This window comes from Homo sapiens, chromosome 11 (genome assembly GCF_000001405.40).
Source record: "Homo sapiens chromosome 11, GRCh38.p14 Primary Assembly".
NCBI classification, from domain to species: domain Eukaryota; kingdom Metazoa; phylum Chordata; class Mammalia; order Primates; family Hominidae; genus Homo; species Homo sapiens.
Window position 1 is genome coordinate 58,833,698 of NC_000011.10, and position 25,736 is coordinate 58,859,433.

A 25,736-nucleotide genomic window follows, 5' to 3' on the forward strand; every position below is an offset into this window, starting at 1 on the left:
GGTTTAGCCTCATAAATCCTATTCTGAACTTCTGATTGCCATAAATATAAGATAACAAATTGTGTTGCTTTAAGTCATAATATTTATCATAATTTGTTATAATGGCAAAACTAATACATCATAGACATAAAAATTATCTTGAAAATTTAAAGTTAAGCTTTAAATTTGCAACTCAACCTAGCAACCCCTTGTGATAAAAAGCAAGTAAGAAAACCAAATTTTCACTCATGGCCACAAAATTTAATTTAGCGGAGCATCTCAAAGCTCCTCAGAGGGTACTCCGAATAAAAAGCAATGATGCTGAGGGCTTTTTAAAAGTCCTTGGGATAACTTTTTAGAAGGAAGGGAAGAATACCAGAGGAGACACTTTTAAAAGCAGACTTTTTATTTTAACAAGAAAGTCATAAAAGTGAATTTTTTCATGAAAGAAATAGTCTTCATTTAAGAAAGTGTTGCCGTTAAAGGGTTATCTTGGCACTAATGATTGGCTTTGGGTGATTTTAATTCTGAGATGTCTGTCATAAAGGAAATTATGAGACCATAAAATTGAGCTTCTAATTTTCTGTAAGAATACAGAGGAGAAGGAAGGTAAAACTGTTAAGGGTGAGCTTAAGTAATACACAGATCCTAGATAATCAGTTGCATTTTGTGCTAATGTAGATCACAATGCTTGTGTTTGAATTAATGTTTTTTTACTGATAAGAAAGATTTGAAATGGACAGTGGAATCAATCAACAATATTTCTTGGGGGTGCATTTCCACTGATGCCAGCCACAAGGACAAATCTTAAACCCCAAATTGTTCAGTGCCTGTAGGCTTTTCTCATTATTATCTGCCACATGGAAATAAAATGGGATTTCTTTCTGAGAAAGATACTTTTCAAGATGATAACCAATTTGCAACATGTTGCCTTGGTGTCTGTATTTGGGGACAGTATAACCCATTCTCAACTCACAGGACTGTTCCATCACAATCCAAGAGACAAGCTGGCCCTCTGGACCCAGCACACCAAATCCTAGAAAATCCTGGAGGCAGCGTTCAATATATTTCAAGCTCCTCTCATTTTTCCCAAAGGCCCAGTGTTCATTCACAAGACCTGCATGTGAAGCATCTAAGAACATGTTTGAAAAGTTTCCTTCCCTGTGAAGAAAAAGAATTTTACATTTATTCAGCCAATATTACCAAACACTGGAATTTCAAAAAATAAATATAACACCATTCCTTTCCTTAAGGACCCTACAGCCTGGAGGAGGCAATAGATGCATAACAACTACCTTTTCTATTTCCGCTTCAAAATGTTTCCAAATAGTTGATGGGGGAACACTGTGTGTTTTACGGCCCATTTAATAGCAGAGAGACAGCATGATATGTTATAGGACATCTCAAAATATCCCACTAAGTGCCCTAAGGAAGAAAATGAACACATGTCCCTAAAAGAGTGTGAATATAGGCCAGAGAAGCCCTCCACATGGCTGAATTTACTTGAAAGATGCATGTATGAAACCATGTGCATTTTGAGTTCTGCATCACAAGATATCTAAATATACAAGATAGTATTTCATTGAACAGATATTCCAATAAAACATATTTTACAGGAAGATGAGAACAATGCTGATCTTACATCTTCATGTGTCCCAAAGCCCTTCATCACATACCCAGAAACGCAGTTTAAGAAGCTGCAATATAAGAAAAAGAATACTACATTTTTGGTGCTAACCATTGGGATTCTAATCCTGATTATTTTCTTTTGGAAAGGTTATGTTCTCTTGTTTACTTGGTTTTCTTGCTTGTGAAATTACAGTAATATCATCTGTAAATATGGGGATGGTGGAAGAGAGAAGATCTCCAGGAAGTTTAGCCCCTCTCCAGGGAGAAAGAGTTTTGAGAAGTTTGTCAGTTTCAGAGTCACTTCATGTTTGCCAGTGGGTGGGTAACAGAACGCTAAGTTTTCTACGGGCGATGCTTTGTTTTTGCTCACTTCACCTGATCCTGGACTTGCTTCCTGAAAGATCTCAAGTACCCTTTCCTGTACCCTCTCCTGTGGATAGCCAAACCTAGAGTGGCAAGATACCAAGATATCCATGTAGGCTTAGAGGAATCACCTTAGGGCAGGTATTTCATGCCAGATTTCCAGAGTTATACTACTAAATATTATTTAATCCCCATTTATCATTTTCCCTGTGTATATGTTCCCCTTAAGTGTCTCATATGAACACTGGTGGGGCAAAGCAGGATTTGAAGAGTGTTGACTTTTCTGGCTAAATCAAATGTATCTGTGAGTGTGTGTTTAAATTCTATTTATTTTTTCAATTAGTAATACAAATATAAAGCATAAATGGATTACTAGAGGAAAGCAAATCTCTCTTCTTTCTCTGATCTCATATTACCCAGTTACTTTGTCTAGAAGCAACCACTAATGCCAACATATTTTTTACAACTTTCCAGTTATTCTCTGCAATTCTAGATGTATATGTACATTTGTTTATTTACACAAATGGTAGCATATTATATACATTGTTCTATCCACCTTATTTTTTTTCATGTAGCAATCTATTTTGGAAATATTTTATAATCTGTCGTGTAGAGCTACTTCATTCTTTTTAATGGCTGCATAGTATTCTAATGTTTCAATGTCCCATAATAAATTTATCCATTTCCCCATTACTGGATGTTTAGGTTGTTTCATAAGTTATGATATCACACATTAAATTCATGAAAATCTTGCCATCCAGTTTGTTAACATCATTTATTTAGTATGCATATTATTTGACTCAACAATTTTAATTCTAGTAATTCATCTTTCAGATATATTTACACAACTGTGCAATGATCTATTTATGATGATATTCATTGCAGAAGTTGCAGTAAAGTGTGTATGTGTTGTAAAAATAAATACATAACTCATATAGAGTACTAAAAGCATACATATCAGTGTCAAAATTATTTACACCTAGCAAGGGAACCCAAGTGGACAGATTTTATTTTTTATTTTATATACTTATGTATTTTCTATAAGCATGCAGCATTTTGTAAGACATAAATAGTTTCAGTAAACATGTTTTGATGTCACCATGATGTCCATTACCCTCTCAGAAGGACGTTGTGAGCCCTAAGTGAAATAATATGCATAAAGACCTTGTCTAATGAAGGCTATGTCCATGCTCAGTACACAGTTGCTAACATAACTCCCTTTCTTTACCCATGCAATTGTGTAGCCCATCATAATTTAGTCTCAAATCCTACATTTCCAAGTACAGCCTTTGTGGCAACTCAGTAATTCTATCAAGGAATTTGGGAAGCAAAAGGTAAAATCTCACTTGTTATCATCATCCACTTCAAATAACTCCATCTTGTCATTACTTGAGGTCTTGTGTTTCTTTGGTAATTCCGGTATAAAGAGGATGGTTTTCATGTAATCTACCTGCACTGATTTTGAAGTTGCAACCTTTCTTATTGCTTCATCCAAGCCCTCTTGGCAACCTGGAGAAAGGAGAAAGACAAGTACCACTTTATGCCTTCCATATCGGCTAGGAATAAACCATGGATCTTTTTCTTTTAACTCAGACTAGTTACCTTGGATCTGCAAAGTTTGCTCCCAGCTGATTACATTGGAGTATGACAGGACTTCCTCTAATTTGTCAGGAGCTTTGGTGAAGATGTGGTAAGTGTTGGTATAATGATCCTGGTCATCTTTCATCTCCTGATATAACAAATATCAATTATATTTACATAGCGCTACAATTTACAAAATGTTCTTGCATAGGTCTAGAGTGCTAGAGATTCAATTGTTTGAAATATTCTGTTTTTCTGAGACAGGTGTAGAAAATGGCCTTGGAGTCACTTCAAGAATAACTCACTCTTGATACACTGAAGATAGTTGCTTTCTTTTAGGGCACTAAAGTGAGCTGCCCTTGAGAGGGTGAGTAAATAACTCCATTGTCTAGAATGGGAAGTGTACCCTAAATGGTGTATGTTAAGCATTTAAAAGTGAAGGTGCCTAAGGTATGGAAAGAAATATAAAGAACAGGTTTGGCAAGGCTCCAGGTTTTTGACAAGGTGTCACCTGAGCTAATCCTGACCCAGGGGGCTGGCTCAGTGATTGGCTCTTGGTGTGCATGTGAATAGATGAAGTTTTGGAAAGAACCATCATTCCAGAGCCAGAGTAGTACCTAGAATAGACAGCTCAGTCTGCCTCCATATGCCTGCCTACCCTCTGCTGTTGACACTTCCCCTTGGGAGTCCTTGCAGGTGAAAACACTTCTTAATCACTTTCAGCCATAGAAGTCTAGGTTGGGATGTATTCCTATGATCAGAATCTTGATGGAATAGATTGACTGGGTGGAATCCTAATTTTATTTACACATCCTGGATTACTGATCACTGGATCTAAGTTCAAGCCTTATCTCACTGCCCTACCCTGTCTCCCAAACAGCCCTTCCAAAACCTGCATACATCAACAGTGTCAATGTTCTTCTCACCACTCCTCAGTTTCAGTTCCCTCATTGCCATGCAGAGAACGTCTGGAGAGTGACTACCCTCATATTCAGTAACTATTGCTCCTACCTGTTTCTGAGGCCGGGTAATGACGATCTGGTAATCTGGCCAGGCATCTACCAGCACCTCCATGTTGAAAGGGTTTTTATCTTTTATGTTGAAAATGGCGCCATATACCTACGATGCAACAGAACAAAGCAGGAGAGGATGAAGTTCTTCTCCAATATAGAGTCTTATATGTGGAGAAATAAGACATGACATGAGAAATAAGGACAAGAAGTATAGGAGGACTTAGGATGGGCCAGTGCTTCCAGGATGGCTCATTGGGCTACTCATTGAGAGTTATGCTGCTAGACGGCCCAAAAAGCATCCACAAAAATCCAAGTTAATACCTGAGTCATTAGGAACTGGCTTCCCTGATATTCATTCATTTCTAAAAAATTCATGCCATTTTCTCAGTTTTTTTCTTTATTTCATAACACACTATTTATTTGGCATCTATTATGTATCAGGTCTGTCTTAAGCATGAAAAACTCAAAGGTGAATATGATATGGCTACAACCCTAAAGTTAAGTTTAGAAGGATAGAGAGTACATAGTTCAACCATCGTAGGACACGTGGTCTGAGAGATATATGTATATGGTGGTGTAGGATCCCAAGGAGGAAAAGCACTACCTGTCTAGGAAGTGATAAGGAAACTTACAATATCAGAAGCAATATCTGAACTGGGTCTTGATGAATATGTTATGCCTTTTTCTGGCAAAATAGAGAATGAGAGCAAGTTATTACAAGTAGGAGAAAAAGCATGAGTGAAATGATTAAGAGTATGGCAGATGATATCATGCCTACTGAACTGTGAGGGGCTCAATATTTGTAGCAAGTGGTATATGGCAGGAGAATGTTGAGAGGCAAAATAAAAAAGGCTGGAGAATTTTGGGATAAGCCCTGTAACCCAATTAAGCCTTGGAGATGGACTCTGCAAATTTGCTATGGCAAATTTTAAAACCAGGGAGTGATATGACCCTATATGTGTCATATAGATGACTCTCATCACAAAGTTGTAACTAGGCTGTTAAGATTGGAGACAAGGAGGTATTGCAATTACCTGGAAGAGATGACAAAGTACACCAAAGATAGCAGAAGGATAAATTCAAAAGATGTTTAAGAGGTCACAAAAAGGAAGCAAAGTGGGTGATTGACTGGATATTGATATTAAAGTAATCTTTGCACAGATTCTCACTTTAGACTTGCATTCCCATCTCCCCATTAAGGTTATGAATCCTGAATCTGTCCTCCTCTCAACTCAACCCTCTCTCTCCTTTGATCTCCTCCTACTCCGTTACCTTTATGGATTCAGGGATGCTCTTTTCTAAGGATTTATACAGAATCTGCAGCTTCTGAGAGTTATGAAGCACAAGCATCTTATGTAGCACTTCAGCTTCTTTCCCTCAAGAAGATGATCTAAGGAAATAAACACAAAAACAAAAATACCTAGAGAGATATGATAGGTGTCCAGAAAGAAGAGGAAGGAGAAGTCACCAGGGACATCATACACTATTAGCAGTGATGGGCTTTAGAAATTATCTAGTCCAAACTTTTCAGTTTACAAATGAGAAATTAAAGCTCAGAGGTGTAACTAGACCTCAGGGCTCCTTAGTAATCTCCATACAATTCCACTTAAAAAGTACATTAACATATCTGGCAAAATATATCTCCCATGCTCATTTGATTCAAACCAGTAAAAGAATATGGAGAGTGAATGCCTTCAGCTGTCCAGGCACAAATAAAAAATAATGCATCTCTTCAGGGATTGTCCCTCTGGAGAGCCCACCACCCCCAAGCATTGAAACACTTGCTCTAATGTTCCCATAGCATGGGTACTATTTTCAGCTATCAAGAAAGAATATAATCTTCTGAAAAAAAAATCTTGCAGACTATATTGTGTGTAGTCCCTTTTCTCCTAAGGAACAAAACCATAGGAAGAAAAAATTGTTGATTAGTGATGATACCACCAAGTAGAAATTGGCAAGATCTAGGAATTGGAATTATATGTTAGCAACCTTAAAAATAGACCAAACTCTTTTATTCAGTAATTCCACATCCTGAAACTCATCCCAAGGAAATAATAATAGATATGTTTAAGGATGTAAACATAAGAAAATTTATTATAATATACTGTATATAAGATATAATACAAAATTCATTATGAAGAAATGATCAAGTTAATGATGGTGTATCCAAATAATAGATTACCAGGCAACTATCAAAATGATGTCTTTGAAGAGTGTTTAATGACATAGGAAAACGTCTGTGTTACAAAGTCAGGAAAACATATGATGTAATCCCAATTAATAATATAAAGATGCAGGCCAGGTGCAGTGGCTCAGCCTGTAATCCCAGCACTTTGGGAGGCCAAGGCGGGCAGATCACAAGGTCAGGAGTTTGAGATCAGCCTGGCCAACATAGTGAAACCCCGTCTCTTCTAAAAATACAAAAAACTACCTGGGTGTGGTGGTGAGTGTCAGTAGTCCCAGCTACTCAGGAGGCTGAGGCAGGAGAATTGCTTGAACCAAGGAAGAGGAGGTTGCAGTGATCTGATATCGCACCACTGCATTCCAGCCTGGGTGACAGTGTGAGACTCTATCTCAAAAAATAAAATAAAATAAAATAAAATAAAATAAAATAAAATAAAAATTAAAAAAATAATAATATAAAGATGCATAGGTGAATGGTTATCTGTGTATATGTACATTTGCATATACCCACCTGAAAGTCTTTCTGAAACAAAGTAGTATATAAATAAGATATAAATATGAACTTTTGAACTTTCTTCCAGCCATATACACGGCTGACAATATATATAAATATGTAATACCTCATATGATACTTGAAGACAATATATAAGAATGGCCATATTTTCCAAGAACCAACAAATAGAAAATTTTCTACACTATTTTGATGGTTTGCAAGGAAGCCATTAATATTTTTTGCAATCCTAGAAAACTCAGTAAATATGACATCTATGTATGCATGTATATATGTAAGTGTATAGCCATAATCAATACAAAAGGAAGCACAGTGGTTAACAACATGGGCTTTGGAATTAAACAAACCAAAACTCCACCCCTGGCTCCTCCTCTGGCTATCTGGGTCACCTTAGGTAAGTCAAATTATTTGAGTCTCTGCCTCAGTTGCATTATCTATAAAATGGGGATAGTAATATCTACTTTGTAGGTTGTCATGAGGATTTCATTGCCAGAAAAGGTATGTGAAGTGTTTAGCATGGTGGTAATTTGTGTATATACAAGGTTCTGAAGGACATTTTAAAGACCTCTAATCCAGTGAAGGTGACCATTCCACCGGACAGAAACATAAATGAAGAAAACTGCAACTTCAAAGATGGACTACATGTAACTTGCTTGAATAAATCTATTGACACAAAATAGATATTTTGAGGCAAACCACAGATCTAGAAAAAGCTAATGTGTTTCTGTCACTGTCTAGGATGATGGGTGCACTAACCAAATGGCACAGCATTCTGCCCATTCTGCAGGCTTTGGTAGCATATTCCACAAAGGAGAGCAATCAACTTCAAGGAAAGAGCGACCAAAGCAGTCAAAGGCTGCTGAGAAGCTAAAAGATATGAGTACTAAAGATGGCAGTGCATTTTGGAGTTAGGAGTTGATTACTGACTTGGTAAGAGATGTGGAATGAAACGTGAGGAAGTGAAGGTAACTTTTTCAAAGAGCTTGACCAGGAAAGGAAGAAGAACATGAGAATATCGAAGGACAGAGGAGAGGTACAAGAGCTCAAAAAAGGCATTTCTCTTATTAGATGAGAGTTAAGCATACCTATACTAACTACAAGAGGTAAGATGTAAGTCATTAATAGGCCAATGTGTAAACAGGACATAGAAAGGTGACAGAAATTCATTGACCTTATATACAAAATGCCAACCCTATTTCAGCTTCTTTATGTTGATTAATTCATGTAATCGTCAATGATAATTCTCAGCATACTTGTGAAATTAAGTTTTGGACTGGAAGAATACTTCTTTCAGTGAAAAGTCAGAAAAAAAATTAGGATGGATGCAGATGCAGGTGTATGTATGTACGTATACAGCAGGTCATCAAATAATGTCATTTTGTTCAATATCTTTTCATTACAATGGTGAAGAGAAAAACATCAATTCCTGGCTGGACTACTGTCTATGTGCAGTTTGCCTGTTCTCCTCATGTCTGCATGGATTTTCTCTGTCTAAATTGTCCCAGGATGAGTGAGACTCTGTGTGTGTGTGTGTGTGTGTGTGTGTGTGTGTGTGTGTGTGTGCGCCCTGTGATGGAAAGGTGTCCAGTCTGGGGTGGGTTCCTGCCTTGTGCTCTGAGCTACCAGGACAGGCTTCAGTCACTTGCTCCCCTGAACTGGAAAAAGCCAGTTGAAAAATGAATGAATGAATGAATGAATGAATGAAACATTCATAATAAAACAAAAATTCATGAAGTCTATGATAATCATACAAATGAATGACAATAAACAATGCTGTGCCAAAGGACTCAGTGAGGCCACCATATTTGTGATTGAATTTTAACTTCATAGAGGCAAGAGGTGCTCCTTACAACTTTTGCTTTGCAAACATTTATTTCTCAATTTAACCCACCACTACTGTGACCACCATCACACAGACTCACCAAAAATTAGGTAAATAATTATCTTGTTTTTATTAATATTTATTAAATGTATACGCAGTTTCCATTTAGTTCATTGTTTTATATTAGAAGTGTTTGGGTTCTTTATTTATAAGTTTGGTGATGTTTTTGTGACCAGAAATATGCTGTAGGAACTTAACTCTTCTTTATACTAATTAGCTTATGGTAAAATTAATTTTGTTATATGTTGTTTCATTTGAAATTGCAGTTTCCAAGAACCTATTGACAATGTTAAGTGAGGACTAATTTTATATGGGAGTACACAGGGTTAGAAAAAAAGAGCAGAGAGTTGGCAAGTTATTTTTGAATGTCTGTTTCCTGGAAGAGGTAAAATTTTTTCCTATTTCCAAAATCACTTTTTAGCAGTAAGTGGGTGAGGGAGTATGCCAAGAAAGTGTCGAGAAAAAGAAGTAGGATTTTATGGGAAACAGTTAGGGTTTAAATGGCTTTTGATGTTAATGGGAGAAAGAGTGGACTAGAATTAGCAAGGACTAGCAAGCATGCTTAGGATAATGTAAAGATGGACACTATGATTTGGAAGTGTTACTCAACAATATATTGAGCTCAGCTCCCTGAGAGTAGAAGCAGAGAAGACAAATTAAAACAAACCAAGGTTGGTTTTTTCAGGGCTGGTGTAGCAAAAAAGATAAGGTACAAAGCATTTGAATATATAGAAATGAGAGATTGAAACTTACAAACTGTAGCATCCAGGAGAGAGAAGAGAAAAAGTAAAGTAGGTTGGAGACCAATAAAGTAAGAAAATATAGAAAAAGCCATGGAAGAAAGTACTTGATGAAGTCAAAGAATAGCAATGTTAATAGACAGGGAAAAATGTACTTAAAAATAGGAGATTGGGATCAGATATTAGACTATTAGAGGTTAAGATGTCAGAGGCACTCAGAGGTAGATCAGTTTGGGATGTAGGGCTGTTGGCTTCAACTCCAAGTCAACAGAGTAGGAGCCAAGAAGGGAATGGGAGTTTCAGGTACCACAGACATGAATAGGATGTAGCAGAAGTTTGTTGGAGAGAAACATTAGGATACCAGTTGCCAAATGTTTCAATGAATGGAGAGAAATTTGGCAGAGGGCAACAGAAAAGCATTGTTTTATTCTAGCCACATGACACAGAAGGAAGAAGGAAGATTTTTCTATGCAAATAAACCACTAATACTTTAGAAGCAGGATTGGAGGCAAGGAGAATATTGATTTTTTTTTTCTGCTAACAGTATTACTATGGAGATCTAGAGGGTGTCAGAGAAAGGTACAAGCATATTGATAACTTATAATTCAAGGAAAGCATTTGGACATTTTACAAATTCAAAAGGATACGCACTGGCTTTTTCTGAAGTATTTCCAGTTTCAGGTACCTAAAAGGTTTTGAAGAATTCATTCTCAACATTGAGACCCTGGGGAGTGCTCTTTCCAAGGGTTTGCAGGGGAAAAGAAATAAATTAACAAATACAAATGATTTAGAACAAGAATCCAAATTAATTGAACTGCCAAGATAAAAAGGCTGTTCTAAATAATTCTGCTTACCTGAAGTTTCTTTGTAGACCTGTAGGCACACTGCCTGCTGCAGTTTCTCAGTATGGCAATGGAAAGGTTTCTGTAGCTAATACTCTACGGACTGAAACACAATAAAATTCAACTGACTCACGTTGTCACTGTTAAGCATAAAGCTTCAGGAAGTTATGGGTTCCTGTAGATTAAACCAGACGTTCTGTCCATAGACAAGAAATCACAGGCTTTGTAGACCAGAGGAGGACTGAGAATATGTTCCATATTGAGCAGCTTCTACAATTCTAAGAAGTTTTACTCAAGAAGCTTTTGATTTATATATAACCTCTTGTAGCTGAAAGGCTATTCTAGAACAATATTAAGTCAATTTTCCATTGTTGGCAAAAATAGCACAGCTGCAGCCTTATTTAAATGATGTCAGTAGAGCAAACAAAGAGTTGGAAAGTTTGATTTCAATGCAAAATACTTGGCTTAATACTTTCAACCATTTGTGGCTTGGAAAAAGCCAAAAATGCCTCAAGGAAGTTACTGTAATAATGAGAACTCAGTTTCATATACCTTGTCCTCTGGTTGTCTAAAGTGGAGCAACAGGGAGGGGCATTGTAAGTTTAAGAAGAAAAATCAATTACTGGAGAAAAGTTTCAGGGGGACTGGAATTAGCTTTGTAGTGGAATAGAGACAAACATTGTTTTTCAAAGTGTGTTCCTCACACCACCTCCTTCAAGATCAATTAGGCTTGTTTGTTAACAATACAAGAACTTTTCCAGATCAGGTAAATCAGAGGCTCCCAGAGTGCCTGGCAATCTGTATGTTATAAAAAGCTATCTAAAAGAATCTGATCAACATTACATTTTGAAGACATTGAGATTAAAACATGGGAAAATATAAGTTATAAAATTTTTATACTGGGTGCAGTGGCTCACATCGGTAATACCAACTACTTGGGAAGCTCAGGCAGGAGGGTCGCTTGAGGGCAAAAACTTGATACAAGCCAGGGCGACCTAATAAAACCCCAGTCTTTAAAATTTTGGTTTTTAATTAGCCAGATGTAGTGGCATGTGTCTATAGTCCCAACTACTCAGCAGACTGAGATGGAAAGATTACGTGAGCCCAGAAACTTGAGATCGCAGTAAGCTATTTCACCACTGCACTTCAGCCTGGGGAACAGGGTGAGATACTATCTCTAATTAAAAAAAAATTCACCCACTTTCTGGAAGTGAAAGAAACTTCACAAATTGTAATCATTTATAGCATGAGAAAAGCAAGAGTTATTTTTACACAAATAAGGAAGCTGTTGCTGAGAAAAAAATAAATGTCTTCCCCCAGGTCACAAAACTAACCAGTGGCAATGTCTGGAACATGAGGCCAAATATCGAATTATTTTAATGACACTATGATTCCATAGAGAGTGATTCTCTACCCTTAGGCAGTTTATATCTTCTTACAAACCTAAATCATCTACTCCAGATGACATATAAAAATTATCAGTGATAATTTAATACTATCTACACATTCTTGCTATGTAAGGCATTGAGTTTTATAGTTTTAGTTACTCTACTTTTTGAACCAAAAGTGGTTCACATAATCTATCAAAGAATTTTACATATTCATAATTGTAAACGATTATTTTGTTAAATACATATCAAAGTTTATAGAGTTATACAGTAAACTAATCATCCTTTTTAAAAAATGGTCCATTTCAACTAGTCAATACATATGTTTTATTCCATAATTGACAGCAAACTGTGGATAGTTGAGAGAACACATATTTTTTTTCTATACTGAGTATTACTTAAGTAATTTCTTGAGCCATTAAATTTTTTTTATATAGTTTATAATGGGGAGGAGAAGCAAAGCAAGTGGCAGAATAGAAGGCTCCACTAATCATTTCCCCATACCCCACAAGGCACCAACTTAACAACTACACAGAAAAAAATACCTTCATGAGAGCCAAAAATCAAGTGAGCACTCATAGTACCTGGTTTTGACTTCATATCCCTGAAAGAGGCACTGAAGAGACAGTAAAAAACAGTCTTGAATCACCAATCCCCATCCCTCCCAACCTCAGTAGCAGTAGTGTGGTGCACAGTATATCTCTGGGCACGGGGGTAGAAAGAACACAGCAATTATGAGGCATTGAACTCATTGCTGTCATGTTAGACACAAAGGAAAACTAGACCAAACTCAGCTGACACCTGCCCATGGAGGCAGAGGGAGCATTTAAACCAGTCCTAACCCGAGGGGAATCACCAATCCCAGCAGTCAAAACTTCAGTGACTGAAAACCTCACCACAGAGGGCCTAAAGTTCTCTGTGTTTCCAAGTAAACGTGAAAGGCAGTGTAAACCATAAGGACTGCAACTCTTAAGTGAGTCCTAGTGCTGAATTAGGCTCAGAAATTGTGGACTGGGGGGACACTTGACATACTGAGACACCAGCTGGGTCAGTCAAAGGAGAGCTGGTATCACCTCTTCCCTAACCCCAGGCTGCATAGCTCACAGCTGCTAAAGAGACTCCTTCCCTCTGCTTGAGGAATGAAAAAGAAACAGTAAGGCGAACTTCATCTTGCATCTTGGATATCAGCTCAGCCACAACAGGATAAGGCACCAAATAGAGTTGTGAGGCCCCCGTTCCAGGCCCCAGCTCCCAGACAACATTTCTAGACATTTGCTGGGCTGGAAGGGAACTCTCTGCATTGAAAAAAAGGATCCAGTCCTCACAGCATTCATCACCTGGTAGAAGATACCCTGAGCCCTGAATAACCTACAGCAGTACCCATGTACTATTAGTACATTGAGGACCTTGCGTGAGCATCTGAGGATAGCAGGTTTCAGGTGAGACTCAGCACATTTCCAGCTGTGGCAGCTCTGGGGCAAGATTCCTTCTGCTTCAGAAATGTGGAAGGAGAAGTAAAGAGACTTTGTTTTGCACCTTAGGTGCCAGCACAGCCACAGCATGGTAGAGCAGCAAGTGGGCTCTTGACATCCCCAATTGCAGGACTTAGCTCTTGAACAGCATTTCTGGACCTTCCCTGGGCCAGAAGGAAGCCCACTGCCCGGAAAGGTGAGTCCCAGGCCAGGTAGACTTTACTACAAGCTGATTTAAGAGCCCTTAGGCCTTAAGAGAACACTGGTTGGTAGTCTGGCAACCAGTGGGTAGGGGTGACTATGTGGTGAGACTCCTCTGTCTTTGGAAAGAAAAGGCAAAAGTGGGAAGAACTTCATCTTGTGGTTTGAACCTCAGCTCAACTGCAATATAATAGAACACCAGGTAGCCCTCTAATGTTTTTGACTCTAGTCCTTGACTTCTGGACAGCACATCTGTATCTCAGGGCCTGAGGAATCTCACTGCCCTGATGGGAAGCACACAGGCCTTGCTGGCTTTGCTACCTTCTGATTGTAGAGTTCCAGAGCCTTAAGTGAACATAGGCAGTAGCCAAGGAGTGATTACAGCAGGCCTTGGTCAAGATGCAGTGCTGTGCGGACCTCAGGCCTGATCTAGCACAGTCATAATGGCGGTGGCCACAGGAGTGCTTATGTCACTCCACCCCCAATTTTAGTTGGCTCAGAACAGAGAGAGAGGCTTTTTTTTTTTTTTTTTTTTTTTGAGAAAGTAAGGGAAGAAAACAGAACAGTCTCTGCCTGGTAATCCAGAGAATTCTCCCATATCTTCTCCAAGACTATTGAGGCGGTACCTTTATGAGTCTTCAAAAACCACAGTATTACTGGGCTTGGGATGCTCTCTGAAGTAGAGACAGCTTAAATCATGATACCTACATCTTTTCAAATATCTGGAAAGCCTTTCCAACAAGGATGGCTACAAATAAGCCCAGACAGTGAAGACTAGAGCAAACACCTAACTCTTCAGTGCTCAGACACTGAAGAACATCTACTAGCATCTACAGCATTGAGAAGAATGGGACCTCACCAAATCAACTTAATAAGACACCTGGGACCAATCCTGGAGAAATGGAGATATGTGACCCTTCAGAGAGAGAATTCAGAATACCTGTGTTGAGGAAACTCAAAGAAACTTAAGATAACACAGAGAAGAAATGCAGAATTCTATCAGATACATTTAACAGACAGATTGAAATAGTTAAAAAGAATCAGAAATTCTGGAGCTGAAAAATGCAATTGTCATACTGAAGAATCTATCAGGGACCTTTATTCGCAGAATTAACAAAGCAGAAAAAAGAATTAGTGAGCTTGAAGACAGGCTATTTAAAAATGCGCTTTCAAAAGATACAAAATAAAAAAATTAAAAAACAACAAAACACATCTACAGGTTATAGAAAATAGCCTTGAAAGGGCAAATCTAAGAATTATTGGCCTTAAAGAGAAGGTAGAGATGGAGATGGGGTAGAAAGTTTATTTAAAGAAATAATAACAGAGAACTTCCCCATACCAGAGAAAGATATCAGTATCTGAGTACAGGAAAGTTGTAGAACACCAAGCAGATTTAACCCAAAGACTATCTCAAGGCATTTAAAATCAAACTCCCAAAGGTCAAGGAGAAAGAAACATAAAAGCAGCAAGAGAAAAGAAATAAATAACATACAATGGAGATACAATACATCTGACAGCAGATTTTTCAGTGGAAACCTAGGAGACAGTGGCATGACACACTTAAAGTGCTGAAGGAAAAATACCTTTTACCCTAGAATATTATCTCACAAAAATATTCTTCAAAAATGAAGGAAGAATACTTTCCCAGACAAGAGCTGAGGGATTTCATCAATATCAGACCTTTCCTACAAGAAATGCTAAAGAAAGAACAGAACATTGAGAAAGAAAGGAACATTAGTGAGCAATAAATAATCACCAGAAGTTTTAAAACTCACAGGTAATAATAAGTACACACGAACAGACAGAATATTATAACGCTGTTAACTGTGGTGTATAAACTACTTTTATCCTAAATAGAAACACCTGAGCTCAAGCAATCCACCTACCTTGGCCTCCCAAAGTGCTAGGATTACAGGCATGAGCCACCACACCTGGCCTATATATCAATAAATTGGAAAACCTAAAAAAAATGACAAATTTCTAGACACATATGATCCACCAAGATTGAACGAGGTCAAAATCCAAAACCTGAACAGACCAATAGCAAGACACAAGACTGAAGCTATACTAAAGTCTCTCAGTAAAGAAAAGCCCAGGATCTGACAGCTTCACTGCTGAATTCTACCAAACATTTAAAGAAGAATATCAATCCTACTCAAACTGTTCTGAAAAATGCAGGAGAAGGCAGCAAACTAACACAAGAACAGAAAACCAAACACCGCATGTTCTCACTTATAAGTGGGAGTTGAACAATGAGAACACATGGACAAAGGGAGGGGAACATCATACACTGGAGCCTGCTGGTAGGTGGGGGCCTGGGAGAGGGATAGTATTAGGAGAAATACCTAATGTAGATGACAGGTTGATGGGTGCAGCAAACTACCATAGCTCGCTTATACCTATGGAACAAAGCTGCACGTTCAGCACATGTATCCCAGAACTTAAAGTATAATTAAAAAAAGATAAACAATTCCAATAGAAAAACAGGAAAAGTGAAAAAAATAGAGAAGGGAATACTTCCAAACTCATTCTATGAGGCAAATATTATCCTGATACCAAAACCGAAGACACATCAAAACACAGAAAACTACAGTCCAATATTTCTGATGAATATTGATGCAAAAATCCTCATCAAAATACTAGCAAACCCTGGTAAAAGTGGGCATCTTTGTTGTGTTCCAGCTATTGGAAAAAAGGCTTTCAGCTTTTCCCCATTCAGTGTGATACTAGCTGTAGGTCTGTCATATATAGCTTTTAACCTGTTGAGGCATGTTTCTTCTATTCCCAGTTTGTTCAGAGGTTTTATTATGAAGGGATGTTGAATCTTATCAAATGCTTTTTTGTGGGCGGTAAGCCACCTGAGGCAAGAGACCGAGGGCACGAGCTGTTCCAGTGTGATAAATATATAAAATAACAAGAGTTATACTAGATATAGATCATAGATATGATTATATATGAATATCATTAATCATTAATTTGTAGCAATTACTCTTTATTCCAATATTATAATAATCTTCACTCTACAATCATAACCCAGGAAAAACCAGGCCATACAGAGATAGGAGCTGAAGGGGCATGGTGAGAAGTGACCAGAAGACGAGAGTGTGAGCCCTCTGTCATGCCCAGACAGGGCCACTAGATGGCTCCTTGGTCTAGCAGTAATGCCAGCATCTGGGAAGATGCCCATTACCAAGTGGACATGGTCTAGCGGTAGCATCAGTGCCAAGGAAAAGCACCTGCTACTTAGCAGACCAGGAAAGGGAGTCTCCCTTTCCCCAGGGGAGTTTAGAGAAGACTCTGCTCCACCACTCTTGTGGAGGGCCTGACATCAGTCAGGCCCACCCACAGTTATCTGGAGGCCTAACCATCTCCCTGTGATGCTGTGCTTCAGCGGTCATGCTCCTGTTTCACTTTCATGTTCTACTCTGGGCACCTGGCTCTGCCCTCTAGATAGCAGTAGCAAAATTAGTGAAAGTATTAAAGTCTTTGATCTTTCTGAAAAGAGCATAGAATAAATAATGGCATAAGCTGTACTCTCTCTGCCTTGGCTGCCAAACAGGGAAGGGCCCCCTGTCTGGTGGACACGTGACTCACGTGACCTTATCAATCATTGGAGATGACTCACACTCTTTACCCTGCCCCTTTTGCCTTGTATCCAATAAATAACAGTGCAGCCAGGCATTCGGGGCCACTACTGGTCTCCGCATCTTGGTGGTAGTGGTCCCCCGGGCCCAGTTGTCTTTTCTTTTATCTCTTTGTCTTGTGTCTTTATTTCTATGATCTCTCATCTCTGCACATGTGGAGAAAAACGCACAGACCCTGTGGGGCTGGCCACTACCCTTTTTAGCATCCATTGAGATGATTATATGGATTTTATCTTTCATTCTGTTGATATGGTGTATCGCACTGGTTGATTTGCATATTTTGAACTATCCTTGCATCCTAGGGATACATCCCAGTTGGTCATGATGAATAATCTTTCTAATGTTATTGTTGAATTTGGTTTGCTAGTATTTTGTTGAGGATTTTTGCATCAGTATATGCACATACTCTGTACCCACAAAAATTAAATATTAAAAAGAATTAAAAAAACAAAAAAGATAGACAATTGAGTTGGCCTTCTTCCAAAGAATTGTATTACATAATATTTGGACACTGCCAGAAACTCCAGACATCTGAGAGACATGATTACTATTATATGGTTCCTGGGTGTATCTTCCTCACTTCTGTAGAACTACAGAAATAGGTGGGTGACATGTGGGAAAAGATTCATAAGTAATGTTAAAGAGTTTCTAAATCATCACAGGGGAGATGGCAAGCCACTGGAAAGTTAGGACTGGAAAAACATGGTTGGGAGGAAGATGTCTGTTAGTGGGATACACACAAGGGATGATTGCCACCTGAGCTAGCATGATAGCCTACTGAGACGAGAAGAGATCCATAGATTTGAGATAATTCAAAGGTAGAGTTTGCAGAATTTGGTCATTGATTGAGAAAGAGTGAGAAGGCTGGCATCTGAGTTTCTGGATTGATCCACTAGAAGCATCAATAATTTTAATTCTTTGAATGGAAATAATATGTAAATTGGTAGATGATAATTTGCTTAAAGTCTTCATTAAGATATTTTCATGACTGTGAAACCAAATGACTATATTTATGAATGTGTTTACTTCTGGCAGAACTTTCATAGGCTCACTCCTTCTAAACTCAGTTCCCTTAACCCTCTTTCCATGAGATCGTATGAGTCTCAATAAAAATTCTGCAGTAGGGGCTATTAGATACCCAACCCCATCTCCAGTTTTTCCTCATGCTTCAGGAAGAAGAATTTGCTATTACCAGGAAAGTCTTTTAAAGCTGCTATGGACATTCAATTAAAGGACACTGAGAATGTAACTAACAGAAATTCAGTGATGTTTCCAAATTGCCTGACTATACGTTTTGAATAACAATGACCTACATTTATTGAGAAATTAACAATATGCCAGGTACATTCAAACTTCTTAGTATATTGTTTCATTTGGTCCTCACAACAACTCTATGAGGTAATCATTACTATTATCCACATTTTATGGAGCAGGAAATTGAGATAGAGATAGGGTAAATAGCTTGCTCAAAATTACATGAAATGAAAATAGCCGATCCAGGATTAAGGCCACAGAACCTTTGCCAAGAGCTCTCAAGTGAGATGTACAGACAAATATTCTTCTTCTAATTGCCATCAGCTATTTGAGACCATATTATCTGCCAGTTTCCTTGTTGATCTAGAAGTCTCTTTAATCGTTAACTACTTCCCTAAAGGCTCTGTCTCCAAATACAGTCACATTGGGGGTTAAGCCTTCAACATGTGAATTTTGAGGGAACACAATATGGTCCTTAAGAGTTGCTCTCTGTTCCCAAGCTGAGTGCTAAGGTCTTTCCTCAATAATGAATTCTTTTTTGCCTAAGTCAGCCAGTGAAGTGCTTGTAACCAACAATGCTAATGAGTAAAGTATCTCTATATCATAGCAATATATTTGGTATTCATTTATTTGGTGTTTCTTTGATTTGCACGTGTAATCAAGAATCATTTAGTCATTTATTCAAACATAGTTTTACCACTGCCATTTAATCACCTGTGTGACTTTAGATGAATTCATCTAAGTAACGTTTCCTTTATCTATAAAGTATAGACAATTATACTGACCCCAAGATTGTTTGAAGGATTTGGGGCAATACGAATATTTATAATTATTAAATATCCTGACAAACACAATTGACCCTTGAACAACATAGGTGTGAACTGCATGGGTCCACTTATGGTTGGATCTTTTTCAATAAAAACAGTCAATCCTCCATATTGGTAGGTTCCACATCTGCAACCAAATACAGATCAAAAATAAAGTATTTGCAGGATTCAAAACCTGTGTACACAGAAGGCTGACTTTTCCTATCTGCAGGTTCCACAGAGCCAATTGCAGAACTTGAGCATGAGTGGATTTTAGTATCACTGGGGGTCCTGGAACCAATTCCTCCAGGATACTGAGGGACGACTGTAGTATCAACTGGAAGTATCATATGTTTGGGTGGGCTCTGACACCTTTTAGAAAATCACGGCCAGGAGAAAAAGAAATGAATATTTAATTTTTGGTTTTCAAAATTGGGACTCTGAAACAAATCTATGTCCTTATATTTTTTTCGTAGTGAATACGTTTTCTAATTATTAACTATTTATTTACAAATGAAAATTGTATATATTTATTGAGTACAACATGATGTTTTAAAGTATGTATACATTGTAAAATGGCACAATAGAGCTAATTAATATATGCACTATCATATACTTTTAAGGTTTTGGTGAGAACACTTAAAATGTATTCTAATAACAATTTTCATAAAATAGTATATTTAAGTATAGTCACCATGCTGCACAATAGATTTATTGGACTGCTCCTACTATCTAACTGAAATTTTGTATCCTGTGACCATCTCCCCAGTCCCTACCACCTCCTCCAATGTCTGGTAACCACCATTATACTCTCTGCTTCTATGAATTTAACTTTTTCAGATTTCACATATAAGGTAGATAATGTGATATTTGTCTTTCTGTGCCTGGTTTATTTTACTTAACATAATGTACTCCAAGTTCATCTATGTGGTTTCAAATGACCGAATTTCCTTCTTTTTAAAAGCTGATTAGTATTCTATTGTGCATATATACCACATTTTTAATGTTCATTAATCTGTTGATAGACACTTAGGTTGACTCTATGTCTTGGCTATTGTGAATAATTCTACAATGTACATAGAAGTGCAGATATCTGTTTAACATACATGCCTGCCTCAGAGATATGGAGGGTTTAGTTCCAGACCACTGCAATAAAGTGGGTATTCCAGTAAAGCAAGTCACACGAAGTTTATGGTTTCCCAGTGCATATAAAAGTTATGTTCACTCTATACTGTAGTCTATTAGGTGTCCAATTGCATTATGTCTTTAAAAAGTACCTATAGTAATTTTAAAATAATTTACTGCTAAAAATGCTAAGGATAATCTGAGCTTTCAAAGAGTTGCAATCTTTTTTGCTGGTGCAAGGTCTTATTTTAGTGTTGATGGCTGCTGACCAGGGTGGGACTTCCTGAAGATTAAGGTAGCTAAGGCAATTTCTAAAAATAAGACAACAAATAAGCTTGTTGCATTGATTAACTCTTCCTTTCAGAAAAGATTTGTCTGAAATCAAAATGCTATTTGGTAGCATTTTACCCACAGTAAAACTTCATTCAAAATTGGAATCAACCCTTTCAACCCTCGCTACAGCTTTATCAAATAGATTTACATAACATTAGAAATCCTTTGTTATCATTTCAGCAATGTTCACAAAATCTTCACCACGAGTAGTTTCTATTTTAAGAGGTCACTTTCTTTGCTCATCCATAAGAAGCAATTTCTTATCCATTCAGGTTTTATCATGAGATTGTAGCAATTCAGTCAGAACTTCAGGCTCTACTTCTAATTTTAGTTCTCTTGTTATTTCCACCACATCTGCAGTTACTTCCTCCATTTAAATCTTGAACACTTCAAAGTTATCTGCAAGGATTGGAATCACCTTCTTCCAAATTCCTGTTGATGTTGATAGCTTGATCTCCTCCCATGGATCATGAATGTTTTAAATGGCATATGGAATGGAAAATCCTTCCAAGAGATTTTCAATTTACTTTGCCCTGATCCATCAGAGAAATCACAATGTATTGCAGCTATAGCCTTAGAGAATGATAAATAATAAGACTTGTAAAGTTGAAATTACTCCTTGATCTATGAGCTGCAGAATGGATGTATGTTAGCAAGCATGAAAAAAAATTAATGTCCTTGTACATCTCCATCAGAGCTCTTGAATGAATAGGTGCTTTTTCAATGAGCAGTAATATTTTTATAAGAATATATTTTTCGTGAGCATTAGGTCTCAATTGTAGGCTTAAAATATTCAGTAAACCACGCTGTAAATAGATGGTGCTGCAATCTAGGTTTTGTTCTTCCATTTGTAGAGAATAGGCAAACTCTATTTAGCATAATTCTTAAGGACCCCAGGATTTTTGGAATGGTAAGTGAGCATTGGCTTCAACTTAAAATAACCAGCTGCATAAACTCTAATGAGAAAGTCAGCCTGTCCTTTGCAGCTTTGAAGTTAGGCATTGTCTTCCCCTTTCCAGCTCTGAAAGTCCTTGATGGCATCTTCTTCCAAAAGAAACCTGTGTCATCTACATGGGGAATTTGTTGTTTGGTGTAGCCACCTTCAACAATTATCTTAGCTAGATCTTCTGGATAATCTTTTACAATTTCTACATCAGCATTTGCTGCTTCCCTTTGCACTTTTATGTTATGAAAATGGGCCAGGTGTGGTGGCTCATGCCTGTAATCCCAGCTCTTTGGGAGGCTGAGTTTGGTGGATCACCTGAGGTCAGGAGTTTGAGACCAGCCTGACCAACATGGTGAAACCCCATCTCTACTAAAAATAAAAATAAAAAAAATCAGCCAGGTGTGTTAGTGGGTGCCTATAATCCCAGTGACTCAGGAGGCTGAGGGAGGAGAATCGCTTGAGCCCAGGAGGCACAGGTTGCAGTGAGCCCTGATCGCTGCACCACTGCATTCCAGCCTGAGCAACAGAGTGAAACTCTGTCTAAAAGAAAAAAAAAAGAAAAAGAAAATGGCTTCTTTCCTTAAACCTCATGAACCAACCTCTGATAGCTTCCAACTTTTTTTCTGCAGCTTCCTCACCTCTCTTAGTTATTTTCAAATAACTTAAAAGATTTAGAGTCTTGCTCAGGATTAAGCTTTTGTTTATGAATGTTGTGGCTAGTTTAATTTTCTATCCAGAGCACTAAAACTTGCTTCAAAACAGCAATAAGGCCATTTTGCTTTCTTATCATTGATGTGCTCACTGGATTAGCACTTTTAATTTCCTTCAAAGATTTTTCCTTGCATTCACAACTTGGCTAACTGTTTGGTGCAAAAGACCTAGCTTTTGGACTGTCTTGGATTTTGACCTGCCTTCCTCCCTATGCTTAATCATTTTTCGCTTTTTGTTTAAAATGAAAGACTCATGACTCTTTCCTTCACTTGAATACTTACAGATCATTGTATGGTTTATAACTGGCGTAATTTAAATGTTGTTGTGTCTCAGGGAATAGTGAGGCTAGAGGAGAGGGAGAGAGTCTGGGAACGGTCATTAGGTGAGGCAGTCAGAACACACACAACAGTTATCAATTAAGTTTGCTGTCTTATATGGGTGCAGTTTGTGGTGCTCCAGAACAGCTAAAATAGCACCATCAAAACTCACTGATCACAGATCACCTTAACAGACACAATAACAAAGAAAAAGTCTGAATATATTGGGAATGACTAAAATGTAATAAAGACAGGAAGGGAGCACATTTGTTGGAAAAATGGTGCCAGTAGACTTGCTTGATGCAGGGTTGACACAAACTTTTTATATTTGTAAAACTACAGTACCTGTGAAGTACAATAAAGTGAAATGCAATAAAATAAGGTGTGCCTGTACTGATTTAATTTCCTTTAAACATATATGCAGTAGGGATTGCTGGATCATATGATAGCTCTATTTTTAGCTTTTTGAGGAATCTCTGTACTGTTTTGCATAAGGCTACACTGATTTACATTCCCACCAACAGTGCACAAGGGTTCTCCTCTCCTCACATCCTCTCCAACAGTTATCTTTCATCTTCTTGATAATAGCAATTCTAAAATGTGTGAGGTGATACTGTGACTTTAATTTGCCTTTTCTTGATAATGAGTACTGTTGAGCATTAAGAAAAAAACCCATTAATTATTTTTATGTCTTCTTTTGAGAAATGTCTATTCAAGATGGCAGTGGGGAGCTAGCGGCAGCTGGCTGGGGAGGGGTGTCTGTACACCACAGAGAGCTTCCCTGGGTGATTCTGGGACCTGGAACAGCCTCCTCCTCCTCCCACTGCCTAGACCTGGAGAAGCCTTTTCTCATCCTTCTCACTCATCCCCCTGGGGCGGGGCGAGTGGGCTGAGCTGCCCCATGCTTGCAGAGCCCAGAGCGGGAACCGTTACCACTAGTGCTACAGAGTGAACTTCACCTCCTTTCCAGGACACACGCGTGAACCACTACCCCAGGTTGTGTTGATGTCTTATTGCTGTTTCTCCAAAACAGCAATAAGGCCATTTTGCTCTTTCATCATTCATGTTGTCACTGGACTAGCACTTTTAATTTCCTTCCAATTTTTTTCCTTGCTCTAAAATCTGTCTTTGTATTTGCATCTTGACTCCAGACTCCCCTTTCCAAATCTAGATAAGCACAGTGACCATTCAGCATAACCAAGATCCCTTTCTCACTGTTGCCTGTCTCCTGACTTACCTGCTACCCTCATTCCCTACTCTTTTCCCCTCCAAAAAAAAAAAAAAAAAAAAAAAAACAAGCAAAACAAACAAACAAAAAATATCTTACTTGAGGAATTAGGTAGGCAAGGAATGATGGATCACATTGGAGTTTGGGCTTTAAAACATACAAGGAAAGAAAACATTTAAAACACACTTGTTTTCTCTACACTGGATAAGAATATTGCTGTACAGTATAAATTTTAATGTCATGTGTCTGTGTGAATGTAGCGTGCGTTTGAGTAGCATTGTGTGTGAGTGGCTCCACAAGTACCTTCAAGTGCAGCCCCTCAGTTTAAAGAAGAAAGTGGGGGAAAAAAACTCCACAAAGCTTTAAGTTCCTTGAGTGCTTCCTTTTCCTAATGAGCATGGTTCTGACAACTGGAGATGAGCCTACTTTGGAAACAGCCCCTCTTGCCCTGTGTTTATTCTTAGGGAACCCCTTTATTCACTCCATTCCCAATGGTCTCACTCCCAACTGATGATAAGTTAGCTAGAAATTTAACACTTTTCTGTAACTTTAAATTTAGATAATGCTTTGTTATAAATTTTTACACCTTTCTTCTGTTAAAGATGAAGAATTGGGCTTTTTTAAAAAAAAAAAAAATTGGATCAAATAAGCCCTTCCCTTTCCACTTGTCTCTGGGCAATGTGAGCTGATGGTTCTTAAGATGTTGAGTTTTATTTACTATCCACTACTCTTTAGCCAAGAATTCTCTAGTGATCTGAAGCAATGTGGCTGAAGACCAGCTTTTAAATTTTGTGTTGACAAGTTGCCTTATATTTAAAAAGGAAAAAAAGTTACCTGATTTATATTATGCCAGATTACAGCAACATGAAGTCCTAATTTATTGTTCTTGGTTGTTTTCCTGCCTAATGTGAACTTCCGTGTCCCTGATTCCTCAGGAATACCTACAGCTTCTGGTGCAATGTCGTTTCCCAAAGTGTTGGCCACCATTTCACCCAAGGTCCTCTTCCAATTCTTGCTTTTCTGAGTCAGATTTAGAGAGCATCACTGTCTCCCCTTATCCCTCATTTGATCTCCAAACCAGATATTCTTGCTATACTTTCCTTCTCAGTACCTCTCCCTGAATGGTGAGCTGCCATTTTAGGAAATTGGACCAGATACTAATTTGGGAGCTTTAAGTCAAAAACCTCTAACCCATTTCTTCCTGTGTAGGGGTGGAAGTCTCTGAAGCTCTCACTCACACCTGTAGTCTGTGGAGAAAATGTACTGCAATCCCCCTGGCCCCCAACTGCCACTGCCTTTGGTGTGAGATGTTCCCTATTTCCTAGTTCAACTTGAGTCCCTCTCTCCTCTGCTAGCCTACCCCCATCCATCAATAAGGATCCTAGCTACAGCCTCCTATTCACACTCCCTGCCTCCATTCCACACTACCCTAGGGAATACCTGGATTCCCCACTCTGTCCACATATTGTAGCATTCATTCTCTCTCTCTCTCATCCTCTCACCTGTGTGGTTTATGGGTGTGATAGAGTTTTTAAGATTATTATAAACTAGCAAAAAGAAAAAAAAACTCAGAGAGAGAGAGAGAGA

The 25,736-nt window shown here is 38.1% G+C and overlaps 1 protein-coding gene across 4 annotated transcripts in view; it reads right to left on the bottom strand.

Moving 5' to 3' along the window:
• Positions 1-367: 367 nt before the first annotated feature.
• Positions 368-25,736, bottom strand: part of GLYATL2 (glycine-N-acyltransferase like 2) — a 75,764-nt gene continuing 50,395 nt past the window's right edge. Inside the window, exons 1-7 of one of the 4 annotated variants that reach the window (XM_017017337.3) lie at positions 10,737-11,007; positions 6,997-7,134; positions 5,838-5,955; positions 4,564-4,671; positions 3,574-3,700; positions 3,318-3,480; positions 368-1,140 (exon numbers count right to left, since the gene is read on the bottom strand). In XM_017017337.3, coding sequence (XP_016872826.1) covers positions 732-1,140; positions 3,318-3,480; positions 3,574-3,700; positions 4,564-4,671; positions 5,838-5,915 — 885 coding nt within the window. In that variant the 5' untranslated portion in view covers positions 5,916-5,955; positions 6,997-7,134; positions 10,737-11,007 and the 3' untranslated portion in view covers positions 368-731. Of the gene's footprint in view, positions 1,141-3,317; positions 3,481-3,573; positions 3,701-4,563; positions 4,672-5,837; positions 5,956-6,996; positions 7,135-10,736; positions 11,008-25,736 lie in introns of those variants that run through there. The other 3 variants (NM_145016.4, XM_017017338.3, XM_047426545.1) reach the window with 3 other exon arrangements.